General features: G+C 38.7%; 1 protein-coding gene across 74 annotated transcripts in view, besides 4 other annotated features; it reads right to left on the bottom strand.

Annotated features, from left to right (window-relative positions):
* The window catches only part of LPAR1 (lysophosphatidic acid receptor 1), a 165,736-nt gene that overhangs the window by 42,484 nt on the left and 101,023 nt on the right, over window positions 1-22,229 (bottom strand). The window lies entirely within an intron of this gene.
* Window positions 16,457-16,626: an enhancer, noted in NCBI's record as "experimental_105469 CRE fragment used in MPRA reporter constructs". NCBI's record gives its function as "activates a minimal promoter by MPRAs in K562 erythroleukemia cells, with activity observed for both the introgressed and non-introgressed 9:113694568 variant alleles {active_cell/tissue: K562}" and the evidence as "EXISTENCE:reporter gene assay evidence [ECO:0000049][PMID:34662402]".
* Window positions 17,814-18,023: an enhancer, noted in NCBI's record as "active region_28789". NCBI's record gives its function as "activates an Ori minimal core promoter by ATAC-STARR-seq in GM12878 lymphoblastoid cells {active_cell/tissue: GM12878}" and the evidence as "EXISTENCE:reporter gene assay evidence [ECO:0000049][PMID:35858748]".
* Window positions 18,044-18,413: an enhancer, noted in NCBI's record as "active region_28790". NCBI's record gives its function as "activates an Ori minimal core promoter by ATAC-STARR-seq in GM12878 lymphoblastoid cells {active_cell/tissue: GM12878}" and the evidence as "EXISTENCE:reporter gene assay evidence [ECO:0000049][PMID:35858748]".
* Window positions 20,245-20,314: an enhancer, noted in NCBI's record as "active region_28791". NCBI's record gives its function as "activates an Ori minimal core promoter by ATAC-STARR-seq in GM12878 lymphoblastoid cells {active_cell/tissue: GM12878}" and the evidence as "EXISTENCE:reporter gene assay evidence [ECO:0000049][PMID:35858748]".

Consider the following 22,229-nt stretch of genomic DNA (forward strand, 5'->3'; position numbering starts at 1 on the left):
ATGGATATGAATGGTTTAAATTCCTTAGATGTAGATTTTAGCTATTTTTCCATACGTTATCATCAAAAACGAAACACTGACTACCCTGAGAAAGAAGAAAAATTGAACGAGTGTGCCTTCTTTTCCTCTCTTGCTTACTTCTGAGTGTCTTACTTCTCACTTCTGTCAATATAAGTTATCAAATTATCAATATGAAAATCATGGTAATAACATGAATGACTAAAATCAAACAAACAGGTAAGTATACAGTGATATAACCTTATGGTTAAAATGTTAGATGTTAAATTTAAAGGATAAGGGAAACTTGAGTATGATATCAATTATATAATACTACTATATACATTTAAATGCATGTATACACACATGTAGCATGCAATAGCCAGTATCTACTGAGGTCTGTCATATAATTGGCACTGTGCTAATAACCTCATTGAATATACTTCTCATGTAGTCCCTGGCAATAACCTTACGAGATGGGACTGCCTGTATTTTACAAATGAGGAAACTGAGGTTCAAAGAGGTCAAGAAACTTCTCTGGGCAATACAGCTAGGAATGACGGAGCTGGGATCTTACTCTAAATCTGGATGCCTCCAGAGGCCTTTGTTCTTAGCCACTATGCTATATTGGCACAAGAAAAAAATACACTGGATGGAAGTATGTCAAAATGGTGGTGGTCAAGTTCAGAATCACTTTTGTAACCTTACTTAAATGATTCTGTATACTATAAAACATTGACATAGGATACGATTTACTTTTATAACCAGAAATAAATTAGTGAATAATAAGTATTGCATGCAGGCTTTGTGACTCAGACCCAGGTGGCCTGGATCACTCAGACCCTCCGTAGGAAGACCATTATTATTATGCAGAAACCCTTGGGTTGGCCATACTTTTTTTCCTCTTCTGTCTTGTAGCTGAGGTGGAACAGCCTCCTAATGAGGCAGATGTCTTTTTAAAGTCCTCCAGTTTTCTCTAGAGAATGCTAATTACTCCCAAACCACCCCCTAAAAAAACTCCACTCACTTTAACTAGAAATTATAAAAAAGGTATATCCAGATGTCAGCAACAAAGATAATATTTTTTAAACTTGGAAAAAATAACTGTAACAATATGCATGGAAAACTATATAATTCATTCTTTTGGATAGGCCAAAATAAAGTCTTTTTTTTTTTTTTAAGGTTGTTGAGGGCAGATTAACTAGTGCTGAGTGTGTATATTGTCAATATTGTAATAACTTTGTAGTTGGAAGATAAAATAACTTCTTTTCAAATATAAGCTAAGGTATGAAAAAAACTTTAAAATGTTCTTGGCCGGGTACAGCGGCTCACGGCTGTAATCCCAGCACTTTGGGAAGCCAAGGCGGGTGGATCACCTGAGGTCAGGAGTTCAAGACCAGCCTGGCTAACAAAGTGCAACCTCGTCTCTACTAAAAATACAAAAAAAAAAAAAAAATTAGCCAGGCATGGTGGTACATGCCTGTAATCCCAGCTACTTGGGAGGCTGGGGAAGGAGCATCACTTGAACCTGGGAGGTGGAGGCTGCAGTGAGCCAAGATTGTGCCATTGCACTCTAGCCTAGATGACAAGAGCGAAATTCCATCTCAAAAATAATAATAATAATAAAGTTCTTAAGCTTTTCAGGGGCAGGGCAATACGTTTTTAATAAGACTAAGAAACACTATGCTAAACCTGATTCTTGAGGGAGCCAACCAATATATTAGAAAGCCACATGACTGGGCTATATCTTTAAGCCCCACAGAATTGCTTTCATTGAACTGCACTTTGGTTACAGACCACCAACCTTCACTGAGAAATGATATGGCATGACTTTATGGGACATGGTACTGAATGTGCCATAAAGAATGTAGAGCTCTCCAGAACATCACATCATAGCTGATGCATCCATCACAGAGCAATACCCAAATGAGAAATGTCTCTTTGGACTCAGTACTTAGAAGGGTTATTTCTCCTGATTTTACTTTATGGCCACCAAATCATGAACGTTATTGTGTTTTACATCTTCATTAACTGCTAGAAAGTATGTCTTTACCTGACTCCATGTCATTTTCTTAGATTTCTTTTTCCCTTTCCCTCCTTTTTCTTGCTTATTTTAAACTCAACTTTGTCCTCTGAACTGAATGCATCTTTTTAAGCTGTCTTAAATACTTTGTTTTGAGACTGGGTCTCGCTCTGCCACCCAGGCTGTAGTACAGTGGCACGATCACAGCTCACTGTAGCCTCCACCTACAGGCCTCATGCTATCCTTCCAACTCAGCCTTCCAAGTAGCTGGGACAAGAGGCATGCACCACCATGCCCAACTAACTTTTGTTTTTTGTTTGTTTGTTTGTTTTTTTGTAGAGATGGGGTTTTTCCATGTCATCAGGCTGGTCTCGAACTCCTAAGCTCAAGCAATCCATCCACTTTGGCCTCCCAAAGTGCTAGAATTATAGGTGTGAGCCACTGCACCAGCCAAATCCTTTTTTAAATAAAAGATTAAGTATAAATAAACAGGCACATACTCTGTACACTTCTGTAAGACTGTTTATGTAAGACTGCTATTGGACATAAGAACCACCCAACATGAATGAAACCAGCATGTTTCCTATACCAAAAAGAAAATAAATTTTCATTTATATTTTAACAGTGAGATTGAAACAATCTAAGGTCTCTCACCCACAGGCCATTCTGCAGACACTCAGGTTACAACCTGAACCCAACAGAGTAGCTGGCTTATGTACAGGCTCATGATTACATCATGATTATGTGTTTCCATGCCACTGTGTTCAGGAAGTAAGCGGTCTGGATATAAGATTTCTAGCCATCCTTGAGGTGAGTGGACAGAAGGAACTGTCAGGTTAGAGATGCAGCATTTCAAAAACAAACAGAAGGGATGAAGGAAGGGGAAGTGAAGGAACAGGTAAAGAGATATGAGACTCAGAGAAGAGTAATGTCTCTGTAGCCAAAATTAAAGAAAACTTCAAAAAGAAAGTACTAGATGATACATTCTTTAACAGATGACTAATATTCCTGGCAAAAACTTTTTAAAAACTAAGTATACATTTAAATACATAACATTCCATCCTTTAGCCTTCAACCTAACAACATCAATTCCTTTAAAACAGCATTTTTGAAAAGCTGGTTTTTTTTTTTCCATCTGTACTCAAAATGGTACATCTATGGTGGACACACCCTAAGATGTTCCAAAATGAGTCACACTCTTGTGTAGTCCCCCTTCCCCTGGTGTGTGAGCAGAACCTGTAACTTGCTTCTAGCCATAGAATACAGTTATAGGATGCCACTCCCTTGATTAGGTTCTGTCAAATAGCAAAAGTGAAGGGGTTTTGCATATGTAATTAAATTGACAATAAATTGCTCAAAAGGGAGATTACCCTGGGTCAGTTGGACTGACTTAAGTGAGCTCTCACAGAGGCCAGAGACTGGAAGAAGTACAGATTTCTCTCTCTCTCCCTCTATCTCTCCCTCCCTCTCTCCCTCTGCCCACCCCCTGCCTCCGCCCATTGCTGGCCTTGAAGATGCAAGTTGCCATGAATTCTACAGTCACAAGGAAATGAATTCTACCAGCAACCTAAGGAACTTGAAGCAGATCCTTCCCTAGTCGAGCCTCCACATGAGAATGCAACCCAACTGGTACGCAGACTTCAGCTTGTGAGACCCCAAGCACAGAACCCAGCTAAGCATGCCTGGACTTTTAACCTACAGAGACTGAGAGATAATTCATGGGTGTGTTTTAAACCACTAAGTCTGTGACAATTTGCGATGTAGCATAGAAAATGAATACAACACCTAAAGACAGAGACAATTTGCATGGGAATTGCCTTTTAATCCACTAAACAGAAAAAAATGTAACGGAAACTTCAGACTCCTCTCTTAACTTCTCACATCACTTAGCCAAGTTCTCCCACATTAGATGTTCCAGATACTTAAACTAAAGCAGCTGTCACCATATCCAAAATGCTTCGCTGGAGAACCATCACATGACACCACTGTGGGAGTTTCAATGCTTGCTGGCCCAAGGAAATCTGCCTCCAATAAACCAGGAAATGTTTAACCCAGACAGCCTGTAACTTCCACAATTTTCTAATCAGCCACCAGAGAGTCCTCTTTAGATTGTCATAGTGACTCAGCACACACACATCAATGCCTTCAACCCCAAAGCTGCACATCTATGTACGTAGTTGTTCTCCCTTCACCTACTTGGGCATGAAAATCACCAAATGAGCACAGAATCAGCAAACTTTGTATAGGCCACAAAGGAGGAGGCAACGTTTCATTTCCATTTTAGCACTGAGATCAAAACACAGCCAAAGGCCAGGCTATTCAGCTGAGACTTGATTCCATAATAGCATGTTCTCTCTGCCCTGCACAAAATTATACCCTGATTATGTATTTCCATGCCATTGTGCCCAGAAGGTGGTTAGGCAGCAACAGCTCTAGCATGGGTGGAAGGTTTAGGCATCTGAATATTTGGAAAAGTAGAGAATGGGGGGAAGGGAAAGTTTGTCTCTTTTTCTGAAGCATTTTTCTGTCAACTGGAAATCAAACTTACCAATGCTTACATTATACTTTTCTGAGTGATGAATACAATGCTTTGGATGCATAGTTCAAGTAAGGTCGATAAGCAATTTATCTTTTGAAATTATTTCTAATGAGAGAGCATTGGCAATTTTTTTCAACTGTTGTGATTTTTATGCACTAATTAAAATCATTATAATACTTATATATACTAGACACAGCAGAAATAGCAAATTTTCATTGTTTAAAAAGACATCAGAGAATAACAATCTTCTTTTCCTTTTTTTCTTCCCTTCCTCTTTTGTTTTTACCTTTTGAAATACTAAAGGCAACAAAATAGCAAGTAATGAGCACCAGCATTGAAACTACAAGTCCTAGGTTAGGGTATGGGGTCTAGCAAATACTTAATTTCCTTCAGTAATTCACGTCATCTCTCTGAATCTGTTTTACCATCTCTAAAATGGGTAAAACACTATCTGCACTATCATACCTACAATTTCATAAAAATCATCACAGATAATATGTCTACAAAGATATTGTAGTATATATAAACCAAATGTGGCCAGGCACAGTGGCCCATGCCTGTATTCTCAGCACTTTGGGAGACTGATGTGGGAGGAATACTTGAGGCCAGGAGTCCCAGACCAGCCTGGGAAACATAATGAGACCCCATCTCAACAACAACAACAAATTTTTTTTTTTTTAATTAGCCAGACGTTACGGCGCTTGACTATAGTCCTAGCTGCACACGAGGCTAAAGTGGGAGAATCCCTTGAGCCCAGGAGTTTGAAGCTGCAGTAAGCAAGGATCGCTACTGTACTCCAGCCTGTGTGACAGAGCAAAACCCTGTTTCAAAAAACAAAACAAAAAACAAAACAAAACAAAAAACAGGGTGAGGTAGGACGATGGCTTGAGACCAGGAGGTTGAGGCTGCAGTGAGCTGTGATCTAGCCACTGTACTCCAGTATAGGTGACAGAGCAAGATCTTATCTCAGTTTAATTAAAGGAAATTATATGAATGTATTTTTCCTTTCAATATTTATGTTTCCTCTCATGAACTGACAAACTAAACTTTAAGAGCCAGTAGTTTATTACTCTGTTCCTAAAGACATTAAAATAGTTAAAAGTAAATTACGAAATTACTGTCAGAAAAATATAGTAACAGTTAACATTTAATAAATGTCAGACATTGACTAAAGGGCATCACATAACTTTTCATTTGATTCTCACATGAAGGAAGTCAATTATCTCTATTTTACAGATGAGGAATCTGAAGTTTCAGGAAGTTAAAGAGTAAGTAGTAAACCTATGATAAAAAAAATTAAGCAGGTTAATCCGGAGTCCACAATTAACCACTCAACTGTTTCAAATACATTTTCCGGGTTGATACTCCAAGAAAAGGAGCGATGAGATGTGGTCTCAGCATACAGGTGGTCTTGTTGTTATAAAGCAGAGTGTTCCTAGTGAGCTAGGAGACCTGATGTGGAGGACAAGCCCACCCACATTGCAGGGAGACCGCCACAGACAGAAGCTAATGGCCAGCCACATGAAAGGCATGCCATTAGGGCAGGTTATGATGGACGTAATGCTCCCTGGAGTTGTGAACTGAAGAAGTCCTGTAGAATTTAGAACACATCAATTGACCTACAGCCAGCTACCAAACCACATCAGAGCCTACGGGGCTGCATCTAGGTCTGCAAAGGTCCAGAAGTTACAGAGACTGCTGCTGCTTGATGGTGAGTATGCAGAGAGCGGACCTGAGCAGCGGAGAAAGTAACCAGAGAGCTGGAACCAAGAAATAAAAGTAGGAACTGGGGAAGAAGAGTCAATGAGATGAAAGAAAACAAAACTGAAGTAAAGCCAGAAACCAGAAATACTGTAAGACTCTGGTTCCCAAACTGTGCCCCCAGGAACCTTGGGGTGCCACAGTGAATTCAGAGGAATGCTACTAGATATTTTTAATTTGAGGGCAGCTAACACTCGACATCTCTCAGACACCCTCTGAACTACGAGCATAAAGTAGTTCAGCGCTTCAACATTAAATGGCATTACATTCCTTTCAATGACATCATGTCCTTGCAATATGATATCTGCTATAATAAAAATGAAGTGTAAACATAAAACTCAGTGTGGAACAGAAAATGAAGATGGTGGTTTCCAATCTGAATTCAAGTTTTGAAAAGTTGTGCAGTGCCCAACAGGTGCATACATACCTTAGTAAATATGAAGGATTAGATAAAAATGATAATTCTTTCAATTTATATGGTTTTGTTTTACAAAATGGCTACTAATTTATCAGGACCTATATACGTATTAAGTTGAATTAACTAATTAAGTTGAATATACTTATTAAGTTGATTTAATAAATGAAACTGTTAGGTATTTCTTTTAGCTTTGGGGCACTGTAAAAAAACTGAGACAGTATGAGCACTGAACTGAGACGTCATGGGAATATTACTTAGGGATTAAAGTTGTCTAGGGAAGATAGAAAAGTAAAGGATCTCAGCAGTGAGTTGCATATCTGTTTTCAAGGTCTTATTATTATATTATTATTATTATTATTATTATTATTATTATACTTTAAGTTCTGGGGTACATATGCAGAACGTGCAGGTTTGTTACATAGGTATACACGTGCCATGGTGGTTTGCTGCACCCATCAACCCATCATCCACATTGGGTATTTCTCCTAACGCTATCCCTCCCTCAGCCCCCCAACCCCCAACAGGCCCCAGTGTGTGATATTCTCCTCTCTGTGTCCATGCTTTGACATGGCAACACCACTCAATACAAAGGAGACTTGCCCCACTGAGTCCTAGAAGCATCATGGGTCCTGACCCTTGTGGTCTGGTCCTGCTCAAGACATAATAAAGATCTGCCACAATGAGGATTAATTCAGGGACTTTAGATTTCAGCATGGCAATATGATAATCTGATGAAAACAAGTTATGTATCATGTATTTTATAATAGTACCTACCAAGTACTTATAAACTTGGCATCTTATACAGACGGTCCCTGACTTACAATGGTTTGATTTAGGATTTTTTGACTTTATGACAGTGTAAAAGTGATACACCCATTCCTTAGAAACTGTACTTTGGGTACCCATACAACCATTCTGTTTTTCACTTTCATTTCAGTATTCAATAAATCGATGAGATATTCAACACTTTATTGTACAATAGGCTTTGTGTTAGATTATTTTGGCCAACTGTAGGCTAATGTAAGTGTTCTGAGCATGTTTAAGGTAGGATAGGCTAAGCTATGATGTTCCAAGGTTATGTGTATTAAATGCATTTTCAACTTACAATATTTTCAATTTACGATGGATTTATGGAGATGTAACCCCACCGCTAAGTCAGGAAACATTTGTGTAATAATCTCACTTAACCTTTTGAGGTTTTACTGTTTCTGCTGTGTCTCTCATTTAACACGCAAGGAAACTGGAGCTTGCAGCCATTGGATACATTGCTCAAGCGGACTCTGCTGGTATGCAGTAGTGTCAGGATGAGAATCCAGGAAGTTGGGACTTCAAAAGTAACACTGTTAATCACCACGCTGTCTTTTTCAGCTGTTAGGCCTTTAGATTTCTAAAGAAGTAAATATACACTAGACTTTCACATGGAACAAAGTACTTCAAAGGAGTACATATATTTTTATGTGGCCACATACATTCCTATTTTTGTTTATCTTGGTTTCTAAATCCTTAAAAAGTTTCCATCTCTTTTTTAGGTTTGCTAATGTTTATCATCATGAATAAAGATAACACAAATGGTTGTAACATAGTGCCACTAAAAAAAATCCAATATTGTCATGAATGTGACAAAAGACTCCCAATCCCCTTGTGATAAATTGGCACAAGCTTTCTGAAGAACATTTAACAATAAGTCATTATGATTCATTACTCTGTGAGGAAGGAATCATAAGAGATATTTATCTTAATGTTATTATAATAGCAAAAAAAAAAAAGAAAACGTAAATGTCTAATGATTATATATTTCATCATATGAATGTACTGAACTTTGGGTAGAAAAATCACACTTTCAAAGATTACTTAATGGCATAATAAATGCTCAAGACAATCTTTTAAAGAATCTATAAAGTGGTATGCATTATATGAATTGAATAAACTATTAATTAGCAAAGGACTAGAAAGAAACAGTATATTCAACTTAATATTTTGGTTAATTATGGAAGGTAAAATTCTAAATGATTTTCTTTTTTTTCCTTAATGAATATGCATTAGTTTGCTAATCAAAAAAAGAGTAAGCTGGGTGTGGTGGCATGCACCTGCAGTTCTAGCTACTCAGGAGGCTGAGGCAGGAGGATCACTAAAGCCCACTGAGTTCAATTCCAGCCTGAGCAACATAGCAATACACTATCTCTTAGAAAAAAAAAAAGAGGAAATGTGATGTGATTAAAATAAGATTCAGTACTTAACAAGGTAAATGCAGTCTAATACTTCATTCCCTAAACATCACCTGTATGTCAACAGCCAAGTCATACATAAAATTCATTTACATAAAGCTTTCCTGATTTTACTTCCAACAAGATAGTCTCTCTCCTCTAAATTCTCATACAGCTTTATTTGTACTTCTTTTATGGTACTTTTGTCACCTTTTGCCTTTCTCAATAATTATCTATGTATATGTGCCATCCTTCCTACCAGACTATAGGCATTGGCATGTCACGGCCAGATTTGCTTCATAATTACATCTGCCATGAGTCTGACTCCCATTCTCCCTGTATTTTAGTCATATTTGTAAGTGAATAGGGATTATACATTTTGGTATTTGTTTTCCCATCACACAACAGGCAATATGCCACCCACGCTGAATTGGTTTGTATATAGTTGCAGTGCTCTTTATGGCACCCAAGGAGACAAATAGGCTTAGTGGATGGCACCCCAAAATACAGTTTTTTCCTGAGATTTTGGATATAGATATAGATATATGACATAATATATATTTAATTATATATATATAAAATAGTCCATATATATAAAGATTGTCTGGCCTCTTGGGGGATACATTGGTCCGTGTATCCAAGATGCTTGAGCAGATGCTGAAAAACCACTTATCATTGCTCCCATATAGACAATTCAAGCCTGGCTTTGGAAGATTGTATGAACATCATATTCCTGATAGTCTCATAATCCTGATAGATGACAGTTTATAGAATCCTGCTGGGATTCTACATCATTGATTGAATGAATGACTAGAGGATGAATTTCTGGATAAATATACAAACTAACGAGTGGAATCCCCATATAGAACCTTCAGATCACCTTGTACAGGCAGAGAATGGGAAAATGCCACTCATCATTATACAGGCCTATAAAAGAAGCTAGATAACTTCAAGGAATGCCCATCCTGGGAAGGCAGCTCCAACCACTAATCACAGCAGGCCACAGGTGGCCCTTTCATGTATGTGAGCCACAGGTAAAGTATGAGAACATTACATTCACCGCAGCATGTGCCAGGCAGCATGCTAAGCACTTGAACAAATCTAATTTTCTCAACAATCTCCTCATTTGGGAGACAGTACTCTACCCAGTTATAGATGGGAATAGAAGCTCAGAAGGGTCAAATATACTGCTCTAGGTCACACAATTAACATGTCATCAGAACTGGTTTTTTTTTGTTTTTTGTTTTTTTGAGTTGGACTCTCGCTCTGTCACCCAGGCTGGAGTGCAGTGGTGCGATCTCGGCTCACTGCAAGCTCTGCCTCCCGGGTTCGCGCCATTCTCCTGCCTCAGTCTCCTGAGTAGCTTGGACTACAGGCGCCTGCCACTGCGCCCGGCTAATTTTTTGTATTTTTAGTAGAGATGGGGTTTCACCATGTTAGCCAGGATGGTCTCGATCTCCTGACCTCGTGATCCGCCCGCCTAGGCCTCCCAAAGTGCTGGGATTACAGGCGTGAGCCACCACGCCCAGCCCAGAACTGGGTTTTTGCACACAAGGACATGTGAGTCCGACTCCCAAGCTCTTCAGATTATACCATGCTGACTCAGGAAGAAATTAAAGCCTATGAACAAGCAAATGATTGATTTACCCTTTTTCTACAAAAGTTTCCATGCAGACACATACAATTGTATTAGGTTAATGCAAAAATAAATATACATTGTTGCTCCATCCTCATTCTTGGGGGAAACAAATGGTTTCTCCTCAGGATAATATAAAATCATATGCCTACTTGAAACATTCTTAGATACCCCATAATTTCTCAAGATACCTTTTAGTAGATCAGGTGATTTTCAGACATTAATTTACAGGTGACAAATTTTCCTAGGGTGATAAAACTAATTAGTGTGGATGTTTCAAATATTTTGAGAGGAAAGTCTATTTAGTGTGAAACAATCTATTTTCTTTCATAGCTCTTCAAGAGCCAAGAATTTTGTCCGAGTGGTTTTGTGTTTTTTTTCCCCTAACTCTCCTTTCCTTTCCTTTTCCCTTCTGATCCTCTCCCCTGTAAAGCAAGTGTGCAAACTCACATGCCTGGGGCAATCACGGATACTCACAGTACCAAAAATGTGCCCATTTCAGTGGAAAAGGTGAAAAGGGTTTTAAAATTGAGCAAGGACAGGTTGAATGCCATGTAATTTAAACCAAAGCCGGCAACTCCTCACACGGTCATTGTTGAAGGTTTGTGTGACGTAAGTACTGATGCCTGAATCCCAACACAAAGATTCTGTTTCAATAGTCTGGGCTGAGGCCCAAAAATCAGCCTTTAAACAAGTGTCCCAGGTGACTCAGATGCAAGGTGGCCCTTGGACCACACCTGGAGAAACACTGACGTAGCGAAGTCCTTCGTGGTACAGATAAAGAAGTTGTCGTAAAGGTTAAGTGGATTGCCCAAAGTCAATTCAACGAGTAAGTGGCAAATCTGGAATTAGAATACAGCTAACGCCTTTGCAACTACACTACATCACATTTTTTACTTAGCATTCCACACTTTTTTTTTTTTAATTTGGGTCACTGCTCTATAAGTAGCAGCTGCGAAAACATTCATAACTTACATTTGTGTGGCACTTCCTATAAAAAGAGCTCTCACATTCATTATCCAATATGATCCTCACCAAAATATATTTTCTGTATTTGGCAGATGAAGGGGCTGAAATTCAGAGAGATTAAGATTCTTGCTCAAAGTTATACTCAATTTGGGACAAAGTAGGACTTAATGAGTTCTGAAAACTAGTAAACACTCAAATGTTAACCATTATTATTATATTTTCTTTTTAGAAACTCTCAGAACTAAAAATATTGACCTAGGAAAAGTTAAGAAAAGTAGGAAAAATTGAAAACAAAACTGAAAACAGCCAAACTGCACGCAATAAAGTTTATTACATATTAGAATAAATTTGATTTGATTCAAAAATGAATCAAATCTTTTTTATAAAATTTAGCTGTAAAATAAGGCCAAGGAAAAGTAAACGTGAGAGGAAAAATAACTCACAATAGTAGATGGTTTAGTTACTGCAATTTGGTATGTTAAAAAACTAATCAATAAGTTAAGCCTTCATACACAAATCTTTGACATACACAAAGATTTTAGTCGTATGAAAATTTTAGCTATATCTGAAACTCGTAGCAAACTAGAAATATTTTAACTGTGCTATATGTTGAAGGGATTAAAGTGAATTAATAATATATACTCTAGAAATGTCTTCTCAATAAAAATCAATGTTACTGTAATTCTGATTTAAATATCCATATTTATAAAGATAGTACAAAAATGTCCTCAAAGTTTAATCAAAACAATGGGTCTAAATGTCCCATGATCTCAATAAGCTTCCTAGTAATAAAGCTACATCTGTTACTATTAAAGTTATAAATCAGTAACTGCAGAAGGACAATACACTGAACATGTAATATTTTATAATTTAATGGTAGTAAATCAGTTATATAATATAGATAGAGCAATACATAGAAATGAATATTTTTTGTTTCTGCTTCTCATTTCAATGCTTTTTAAATTTACAAATGCTTTCGGACAGATTTCCTGCCTTAAAGTATTAATACTAATTTAGATTGAACTGAAGCATTAAGAAATTCCACTAAGGAATTCTATTAATGTTACTATCTCACTACGCTAATATAACATAACTACAGTTAGAATTACTCATATTTTGTTTCTATAGCATGCTCTGCCACTCTAAATAAGTAGTTCTCATCTACTGGTACTCTAGAATATATGTATGGTGCCTTAGAAATAGTGTTTTTAATTAAAACATCTTCACTTTTCTTCTAGAACATTAGAATTTGCCAAATTAAACAAAGCCAGTGCTCTAATCTCTACCGTCTGATCGTTTTATACACACGCACACATACATATACACACACACACCTTTTAAAGAATGTCTAAATAGAGCCTCTTTTGCTTTAGTTCAGAAACTCACTGATTCCAGCTCCTCAATTTATAGCTTGGCCTTTCCTCTCAGACTGGACCAATATACAAAGGAGTACCACGTGCTTGGCAAGGTTAGCAAACCCAATCCCTTCAGCATAAAATGGTGAATCACTTGCTGGCTACAGCAAAACCTTCTGGACTGTTCACTTCATCCATCTTTTCTGCATGTTCTTTAAGGCTAGGCTCCTAAGTGGCTACCTTCTCTCTCCCAAGAGAAAGGAAAATAACTTGAGTGAATGAGTTCATGCCTGCAATATAAATATGAGAAGCTTTTTGAAGCACAGAAATACCTGTTTAGAATGAACTCATGGAAAACCCAACTTAAAATGCAGTGTTCTTTGTGTCAACAAAAGTCTACTTGGGCAGAATAAATAAGTGAAGCCATGAATTTCCAGTCTCCCAATGCCAGATTAAATCCCATTTCTTCAAAAAGACCCTGTTATTGCTGTGTCACCCTATTAGAACCTCATATTTGCTTTGGATCATTATAATAACTCCTCTATGGGTGCAGGAGCCCTGCCAGGGTTTAAGTAAAGCCATGACCACATTCAGTCTAGACACTATCATCTTCACTAAAATACATGAACAGAAAGTAGCTTCTCAGAGGCACAGGCTCTAGTTAGGCCTCAAAGAAAAACAATATCAAAGGTACCAACAGAAGAAAAAAATTGTTTATATGAAAAAAACAAATTTCATTAAAATGCTTTTTTCAAAGAGCATGACAAAGACTATGTAACAGAAGGGAAAAATTCAATTTTGACACAGAAGTTTACAACATTACCTGTTCATAAGCAAGCAAAATTTCTGAGAAAACAAGATTCTATAAACTGAATACAATCCTTTATTTCAAGGCAACTCAAAATAAAATGCAGAAATAGTAAATAAGTGAAACTTCTTGTATAGTTAAATTGAACTCCAGGATAATATGGAAGCCTATAAGACAAAGGAGAAAATCCATGTAATATAGAATTGATTGCTATCTAAAATGCTGTATTTCCCAGCCAATAATGTGTGTGTGTGTGTGTGTGTGTGTGTGTGTGTGTGTGTGTGTGTTATAGTTGCCAGATAAAACACAAGATACCCAGTTAAATTTTAATTTCAAATAAAAAAGAAGTATTTGTTTTTTAGTATAAGTATATCCCATGCAATTATTTTTATTGGCTAAATTCGGCAATTCATATGTGTGCCTCCTATGTTCATTCTCATTTTTTCAATCTGTATCAGGAAATCAGAAATGATGCTTCGAGTTGCAAAGAACGTAAACCCCTCAAAAACAGAACTATACATTTCCAGATGAAACAGCTGCCTGTGAATTCTACTGCTGTAACAATAACAAAAAACACCTGAAGACATTCTGAAACCTCAACCAGGCCATTACAGACTGTAAAACACCATAGAAAATTATATTCTCGTTATGTTTCAGGTATAGGTGTCGACTTTTCCTGGCAATGATCTTTCAGATCCTGAAACACATACACGTCACTGTCAATCCCTTCTTCTTCTCCATAGGATGTTAATCTGACATATAGAAATGAATCCCTTTCCACCGGACGTGGTGGCTCACGCCTGTAATCCAGCACTTTGGGAGGCTGAGGCAGGCAGATTACCTGAGATTGAGAGTTCGATACCACCCTGACCAACATGGAGAAACTCCATCTCTACTAAATACAAAAAATTAGCTGGGTGTGGTGGCCTGTAATCCCAGCTGCTCGGGAGGCTGAGGCAAGAGAATCACTTGAACCCAGGAGGCAGAGGTTGCAGTGAGGTGGAGATTGCGCCATTGCACTCCAGCCTAGACAACAAGAGCAAAACTCCATCTCAAAAAATAAAAATAAAAATAAAAATAAATTAATCCCTTTCCTTATAGGTCAGTAACCATTCAAAACCCATTTACTTCATAACCAGTTTGATGATGTCAAATTGCTATCTCTAGTCAATTAAGAAAGTGAATATTGGGCCGGGCTTGGTAGCTCCCAGCACTTTGGGAGGCTGAGGTGGGTGGATCACCTGATGTTGTGAGTTCTAGACCAGCCTGACCAACATGGAGAAACCCCGTCTCTACTAAAACTTCAAAATCAGCCGGGCGTGGTGGCGCGTGCCTATAGTCCCAGCTACCCCGGAGGCTGAGGCAGGAGAATTTCTTGAACCCGGGAGGCAGATGTTGCGGTGAACCGAGATCACGCCACTGCACTCCAGCCTGGGCAACAAGAGCGAAATTCCGTCACAAAAACAAAAAAAAAGGTGAATATTATGCCAGTGCAAAATGCAGCCAGAAAGTTCTAAGTAAATATTGTCTGACAATTCTGGAAGCTTCCCTTTCCACTCTAAGGATTTATACAAGATGTACATGCCTAACAACGGCTATTGTCATAGCTAAGTGAAATACTAATTACAATACAAGAAAAGTAATTGAATATTTCATTCAATTCAGGGTATAAAGAATATCTAATAGAAATAATTCCTTTGCCTAGGCTTACTTAGCAAACTTCTATACATCATCTAAGATGAAATTCCAACATCAATTTCATCTTGAAGTCTTTTCCAGACATTGCCCGGTGAAATACAGCATTCACATAGCACTTTGCCTGTTTTGTCATATTATATTGTGTTTATTTACCATGTTATATTGCACTTATTTAAATTATCTGTCATTATCTGCTACAGTGAGAGCTTCTTGAAAGCAGGATACATATTTTTGTTGATCTTTGCAGTCATACTCATTAACAGAGAGTCTAGAAGACTTCAATGCATGTTTGCTGACAAAATAAACTATTATTAACAAGTTTGCAAAAAAAATTCTGATGGTAGTTTCTTTTGCTGTGCAGAAGCTCTTAATTAGATCCCATTTGTCAATTTTGGCTTTTGTTGCCATTGCTTTTGGTGTTTTAGACATGAAGTCCTTGCCCATGCCTATGTCCTGAATGGTATTGCCTAGGTTTTCTTCTAGGGTTTTTATGGTTTTAGGTCTAACATTTAAGTCTTTAATCCATCTTGAATTAATTTTTGTATAAGGTGTAAGGAAGGGATCCAGTTTCAGCTTTCTACATATGGCTAGCCAGTTTTCCCAGCACCATTTATTAAATAGGGAATTGTTTCCCCATTTCTTGTTTTTGTCAGGTTTGTCAAAGATCAGATGGTTGTAGATATGTGGCATTATTTCTGAGGGCTCTGTTCTGTTCCATTGGTCTATATCTCTGTTTTGGTACCAGTACCATGCTGTTTTGGTTACTGTAGCCTTGTAGTATAGTTTGAAGTCAGGTAGCATGATGCCTCCAGCTTTGTTCTTTTGGCTTAGGATTGACTTGGCAATGCGGGAAGTTTTCACTGGAACTTAGCCTTAAAAAAAGTCCTGAGAGGCAGGAGTTGTAGCTGCTTAATTATAACGACCTTATGGCAAATATCCCTTTGAATGAGATCCACTATCAAATCGCATTGAATTTTTGGCTACCTGGGTATATTACTATTGTAACTAGGCAACCTGTAAAACTCCCAATCCAGAACAAGAGGTATATTTCATGTAGTCATTCAGCAAATATCTAGAGTGCCAGGACCTATTCTAGGTGCTGGGAAGTAAGATAAAGCCCTGGCATCATAGAACAGCCATGATGATTCTTCACAGAGATTCATGAGGTAGCAGTGAGAGATTAGGAGTTATTAATAAATAGCATTTTCTTTGTAAGTAAATGACGATGAATCCCAGACTAAAGGATTCACAGGTGGTCAAACTGTGAAGCTAGGACCGGCTAGAGAACAGCAATCAGGTCTCATGAACCCAGCCATTCGTCATTTCTTCCATACATGCCAGACATGGCCCTTCACTGCTGATCAAAAGGAAACAGAATAACAGAATGGTGCCTTAGATCAGGGGTTCGAAATCCCCAGGCCATGGACCAGTAACAGTCCATAGCCTGTTAAGAATCGGGCTGCACAGCAGGAGGTGAGCAGCAGATGCGCAAGCATTACTGCTTGAGCTCTGCCTCCTGCCAGATCAGTGGCGGCATTAGATTCTCATAGGAGTGTGAACCCTATTGTGATCTGCAGATGTGAGGGATCTAGATTGCGTGCTTCTTATGAGAATCTAACTAATGCCTGATGATCTAAGTTGGAACATTTCATCCCTAAACCATCCCCCCTCCTCCAACCCATCTGTGGAAAAATTGTCTTCCATGAAAGTGATTCCTGGGGCCAAAAAGGTTGGGGACCACTGCCCTAGATGATGCCTGGGCTTTCAGCTGTGCCTTAAGTACTGCAGATCCATCTGAGGGAGCTCATGACTTTCTTATAGACATTGACAAAGTGGCCTGTTACATTCCAAAGTTCATTTTAATAGTCAACACCATTTAACCAACTCTGAAGAGTCAGCAGATCAGAACTATTAGCATTTCCTGTGATGCTAACAGGATTTTTCATACATAGGGCTGAGGCTCAACAAGTAGGGTGTAGGCAAAGCTGCAGTAAAAGCAAAGGCCATTCATTCGGGATAAAAATTTACAGAGTATAATTCGAGCCAACAGCTGCTGGAACACAATAGTAATTTCATACTATGTCATAGAAATGAAGCACCATCTCGCACATCAAATTATACGTGGACTTGGTGTGTAGGTAGATGTGAATGGATGTGGGTGTGTCAAAAAAGAGAAAGGGAAAGAAAAAGGAGGGGAATTCTCATGAGGACACAACCTAAGAGTAATGATAATACTTGCTACCATTAAGTGTCTTCTGTAAGCCACATGTATGTGCTTTACATAAATCAGTTCATCTAATGCTCACAACCACTTGAGAAAGGCCCTATGATTCTTACTTTGTTAATTCTGAAACCAAGACTCAGAGAGGTTAAGTCAGTTATTTGGGACTATGGAACTCGTAAGCAAGGAGCCAGGATGTGAACTTCAAACTCTGGCCTATCTTACTCCAGATCTAAACTCTCAACCCCTAGGAAACAGTGATTCTCAGTGGTCACCACAATTCATTTAAGAAATCTTTGCATCATTTATTACCTTTAACGACAAGGAAAAGTAAATGACTTTCCAACATTCATATTTGGATGAACAAGAGTCTCGGCCAGACAAGGCCTGAATCACTCTCAACAGACCTAAAATAAGAGCTTCATGTTCTGGTTCCTCTGTCCACACTTCAAAAGGAACTCTGTTAGGTTCATGTGGTATTTTTGGTTTCTGTTTCTGTTTAAACGTTTCTTCTGAGAAAAAATATTTGAATGGAGATGGGCAACAAAAGGGTATAAAGAGCTGGTGTTTGAAAGTTGTTTTCTGTTTTGACCCAAGCCCAGGATGTGGGGTCTGGGAAGCACTGTGGGACTTTTGCAAGGACTGTCTCCTGGCCACCACCCATGGTGCCAAGCAGCCTAATGGCTGGCCAAACAATCGAGGCTCTCATGGATATTCGCTCAGGTTCTTCCTCAAAGAGGCCTTTACAGGGATGCCACTGGGACCTGAGGAGACATGGGGTAGCTTTAGTTCCCCTTCAGAGTAACAGAATGTGTAGCCGGTCACCTGTGGCCAGGGAATAAGAGACTCTGTGTCCATTCCCTGCCCCTAGCAACAGGACCAATTGGGAAGTCTTCCCTTCCTGCCACATGGCTCTCCCACAGGAAAGTAAAGCCCCCAGATTCATCTCTTTGAGAGGATCCTTTATACACTCGCCACTCCCTTTAATGGGGGATAGTGCATCTAAAAGCTTATTATGAGAGAAGGTAATGGCTGGTCTGAGTGCAGGGACGTGTACAACTAATTGATTATAACCAATTACAGATTTCTTTGTTCTTTCTCCACTCCCACTGTTCTACTTGACTAGCCTTAAAAAATAAAAAAGAAGGTGGAATGCACCGTTCATACAAAGAAGAATCATAGTCCCTTATTTTTGTCCCAGTCCCCTTTCAAGTTTTCCTCTAGAAAGCTCTACATGGTTGATCCACAGTAGTTACTGTCCTTATAATTTTATTTACAGAATAAATAGAATCCTAAGTAATCTTGGAAATCAAATTGGTCACCTTATCATACGGAAAAAATTAACACAGGGAAAGTAACTTGCCCAGAATCATCCAGATAGTTCTTGTCAAAGAGTAGATTCCAGAGGTGCCCTGACTCAGTGAATATAACTGAACACACACACAAACACACACACACACACACACACAGAGAGTGAGAGAGAGAGGAGAGGAGAGAGAGAGCACAAACTTAATATAAAAACCAAGTGGAATGAAAAATAGTAACATAATGCTGTTGTCAAGAAAGCTAACAGGATGCTAATATATGTGAAAAGCTACTATATGTGATGCTAATAATGTACAAGCGATTCAGTTTCAGATAACTTTTTTCAAGGTTTAATTAGGGAGGGAGATTACCAATTGGTTATAAGAAGACCTATTCAAGGAAACTCTTCCTTTGAGAACCAGTTACCTTCACAGCCACAATGTTTACACCTAATCCTGGCTAGCCACATAAATACATGGCTGAAGTTCCCAAAAAAAGATGAAGATGGAAAGTGTGGATGGGACTGAACAAGGCAGGGGCAGTAAAAATAGCACCTTAGTGGAAGTCAGGAAACTTGGATCCTGGCTTGGATCAGGAGCTAACTAAGACCTGAAGTTCTCAATTAACCTGGGGGTCTCGGTCTCTTCATTTGTAAGATGTGGGAGTTGGATGATATAATTTTTAGGGATCCTTTCAAGTTCTAAGAATTCTAAATCTGGACCGACTCCAGCCTTAAAAAAAAAAAAAGCCAATTATACACAGCAATACAAGTCCAGTGTTGAGAGCTGCATTTGAAAAACTAAAAGAGAACCTAGAAAAAAATATTGGCTGGGCATGGTGGCTCACACCTGAAATCTCAACACTTTGGGAGGCTGAGGTGAGCAGATCACTTGAGCTCACGAGTTCAACACCAGCCTAGGCAACATGGTGAAACCCTGGCTCTAAAACAAAAAAAAGAACAAACAGAGAGCAGAGCCTTGGAGGAGGGTGACCATTCATCCTAGGTTGCCCTAAACAGTCTTGATTTACTCCTGTTATCCCAGATTCCCAACAGTTAGTGCCTGTTTTCATTCCCAAAAGCATCTCAGTTTGGATGATACATTATGTGAGGACTCTGCCTATAAGGAATTGGTGTTCATTTGATCTTGGGGAACCCTTCATCGTCTCCCAACTCCCACAGACAGAAGCTCAAACTTCTCAGTATGTTATAAAGGTTTTGACCCTCTTGTCAAAACTCCATCTGGCATACCTACTAGGTGCTAATCACACCTGACTACTTTCAGTTCCTCAAAGGTGATCATCATTGCTCATGAACTGGTCACCTTCTCCTCCACCCAATGCTACAGTGAGGCAAGCTCCTCTACATCCAGCAAGACTCAGCTCAAGATTGCCTCCTCTGGGAGCCCCTCCCATCACTCCACTCGTCATCACTCTCTGCCCATACCTCTACTAGCACATGAACCCGAGTGCTTTGCAGCTCTTTTTTAGTCTCCTCTACTACATCATAAGCTCTGTAAAGAATTTTTTCTCTTATCCCTTAGCACACAATTGGCACTCAACAACATGCTTGTTGAAGTAAACTGAAAAGAGAAGCACATATAGATTTGCTAATAGGACAGTAGCCAAATTAAATCTTTCATCAGAGTGAATAAGAAAACTATGGTCTTAAACTTATCTGACTCCTGCCACTTTCGTCACCACTGGTGACAGTCACCATGGTATGTGAAGAGTCAGTGTCCTGTGGCCAAAAGGCATGGTCTACAAGAATCTGACAGCTGATTTCCAGTTCTGCCACTTACAAAAAGAATGATCTTAGACAAGTTACTTAACCTATCCTAATTCAGTTCCCTCAACGTAAAATGAGGAAAATGTAACTCCTTGATGTAAGAGTATAAACAACACAGGAAGAGTAGGGCCGCATACTGACCCTAGTACAGAGAATGTAAGACATAAGGAGTAATTTAGCTTCCATGGTGATCGTTTCCAACCAGAACAAACTAGAAAAACAGTGTCTCCCTCTTCTTCCCCAAAGAGGTAAGCCACACCTGGATTCATTTTACTTTATGTCTCTCCCCAGGACTCAGATGTAAAAACTTCACATCTTAACCATGATTTTCTCTTTTCAAATTCTGGATCTCCTCCTCTCTAAGTATCCTGGACAGAAGTGTCATCACAAAGAATACAGCCAAAAAGGAAAGGACTTATAATTCAAGACATGCCATGGTCAAATAAGGAAGAACATCTTGACGGCCACTCTGACTCAATAGTGGAAACGACTCAGAAGGAATTCTTGGTAAAATGTCAAGTAGGGAGACTTCAAGCCTAGGGAGGGATTACATGACTTTATGCTAGGGCAATGAACCTTCAAGTTAACTATACCTTGAACAAAATCCTCCCTCAATCAGAAGCCATCAGTTAGTGCTGCTGCAACATGAAACAGTGGAAAAGGGTGGATGAAATGAGGGTCATCAGAAGCAAAAGGAAGAAAAGATTGCTCCCTTAAAAGCTTTCTCTGCCCAGGGAAACAAAGCCCAGTCAGCACAGCTAGGCAGTTTCAACAGAAACAAATGAGATCACAGTGTTTCAATTTAATAGCACACACTGCTTGCTGTTCAAATGTTATAACTAAATACAGCATGTGCTGCTAGTTGTTTTGATTAAAGGGAAGTAGAATAACATGGAGGGGACAAACACATGGGTTCTGAAACCCAAGTGCCCAACCTTGAATCCCAGCTCCTGACCTTGAATCCCCGTTCCTATACTTCCTAGCTGTGTGGCTGTGGGAGAGTTACCTAACCTCTCCTTACCTCAGTTTTTATCAACTGGAAAATAAGGATAACAAATCAATAACAGTACCTATACGCCATAGGGTTGTAATTTACAAATACTAATTTCTAAGGTAGCACATGATTTATGCCAAATAAGTATTTCACAACTAAAAATAATTATTAAGATCCAGTACTCACTCAAAAGCAGCTTAATACAAGATCATGCTTAAAAACCAGCCATTGGTATTGCCCATTATTAATCTCAAAGATGACTTTATTTTAATATAACTTGACTCATAACAAGTCAGTTGCTGACCAACAAATTCTTCTTTTGATCATGAAGACTGAATAGGTCTAAAACCCAGGGATCATTTTGATGAAGTGAAAATGGAAACTGAGTAATCATTCCCAGAATAAATGGAAGTAAAACAAACATATTATTTACTGAGCACCCATTGTAGCCAGGAGTTTTCCAGGCTGTTGTATTTTAGAAGGCATAGAACATAAAGGTGTCGCTAGGTTTGGCT

This window comes from Homo sapiens, chromosome 9 (genome assembly GCF_000001405.40).
Source record: "Homo sapiens chromosome 9, GRCh38.p14 Primary Assembly".
Lineage (NCBI taxonomy): Eukaryota > Metazoa > Chordata > Mammalia > Primates > Hominidae > Homo > Homo sapiens.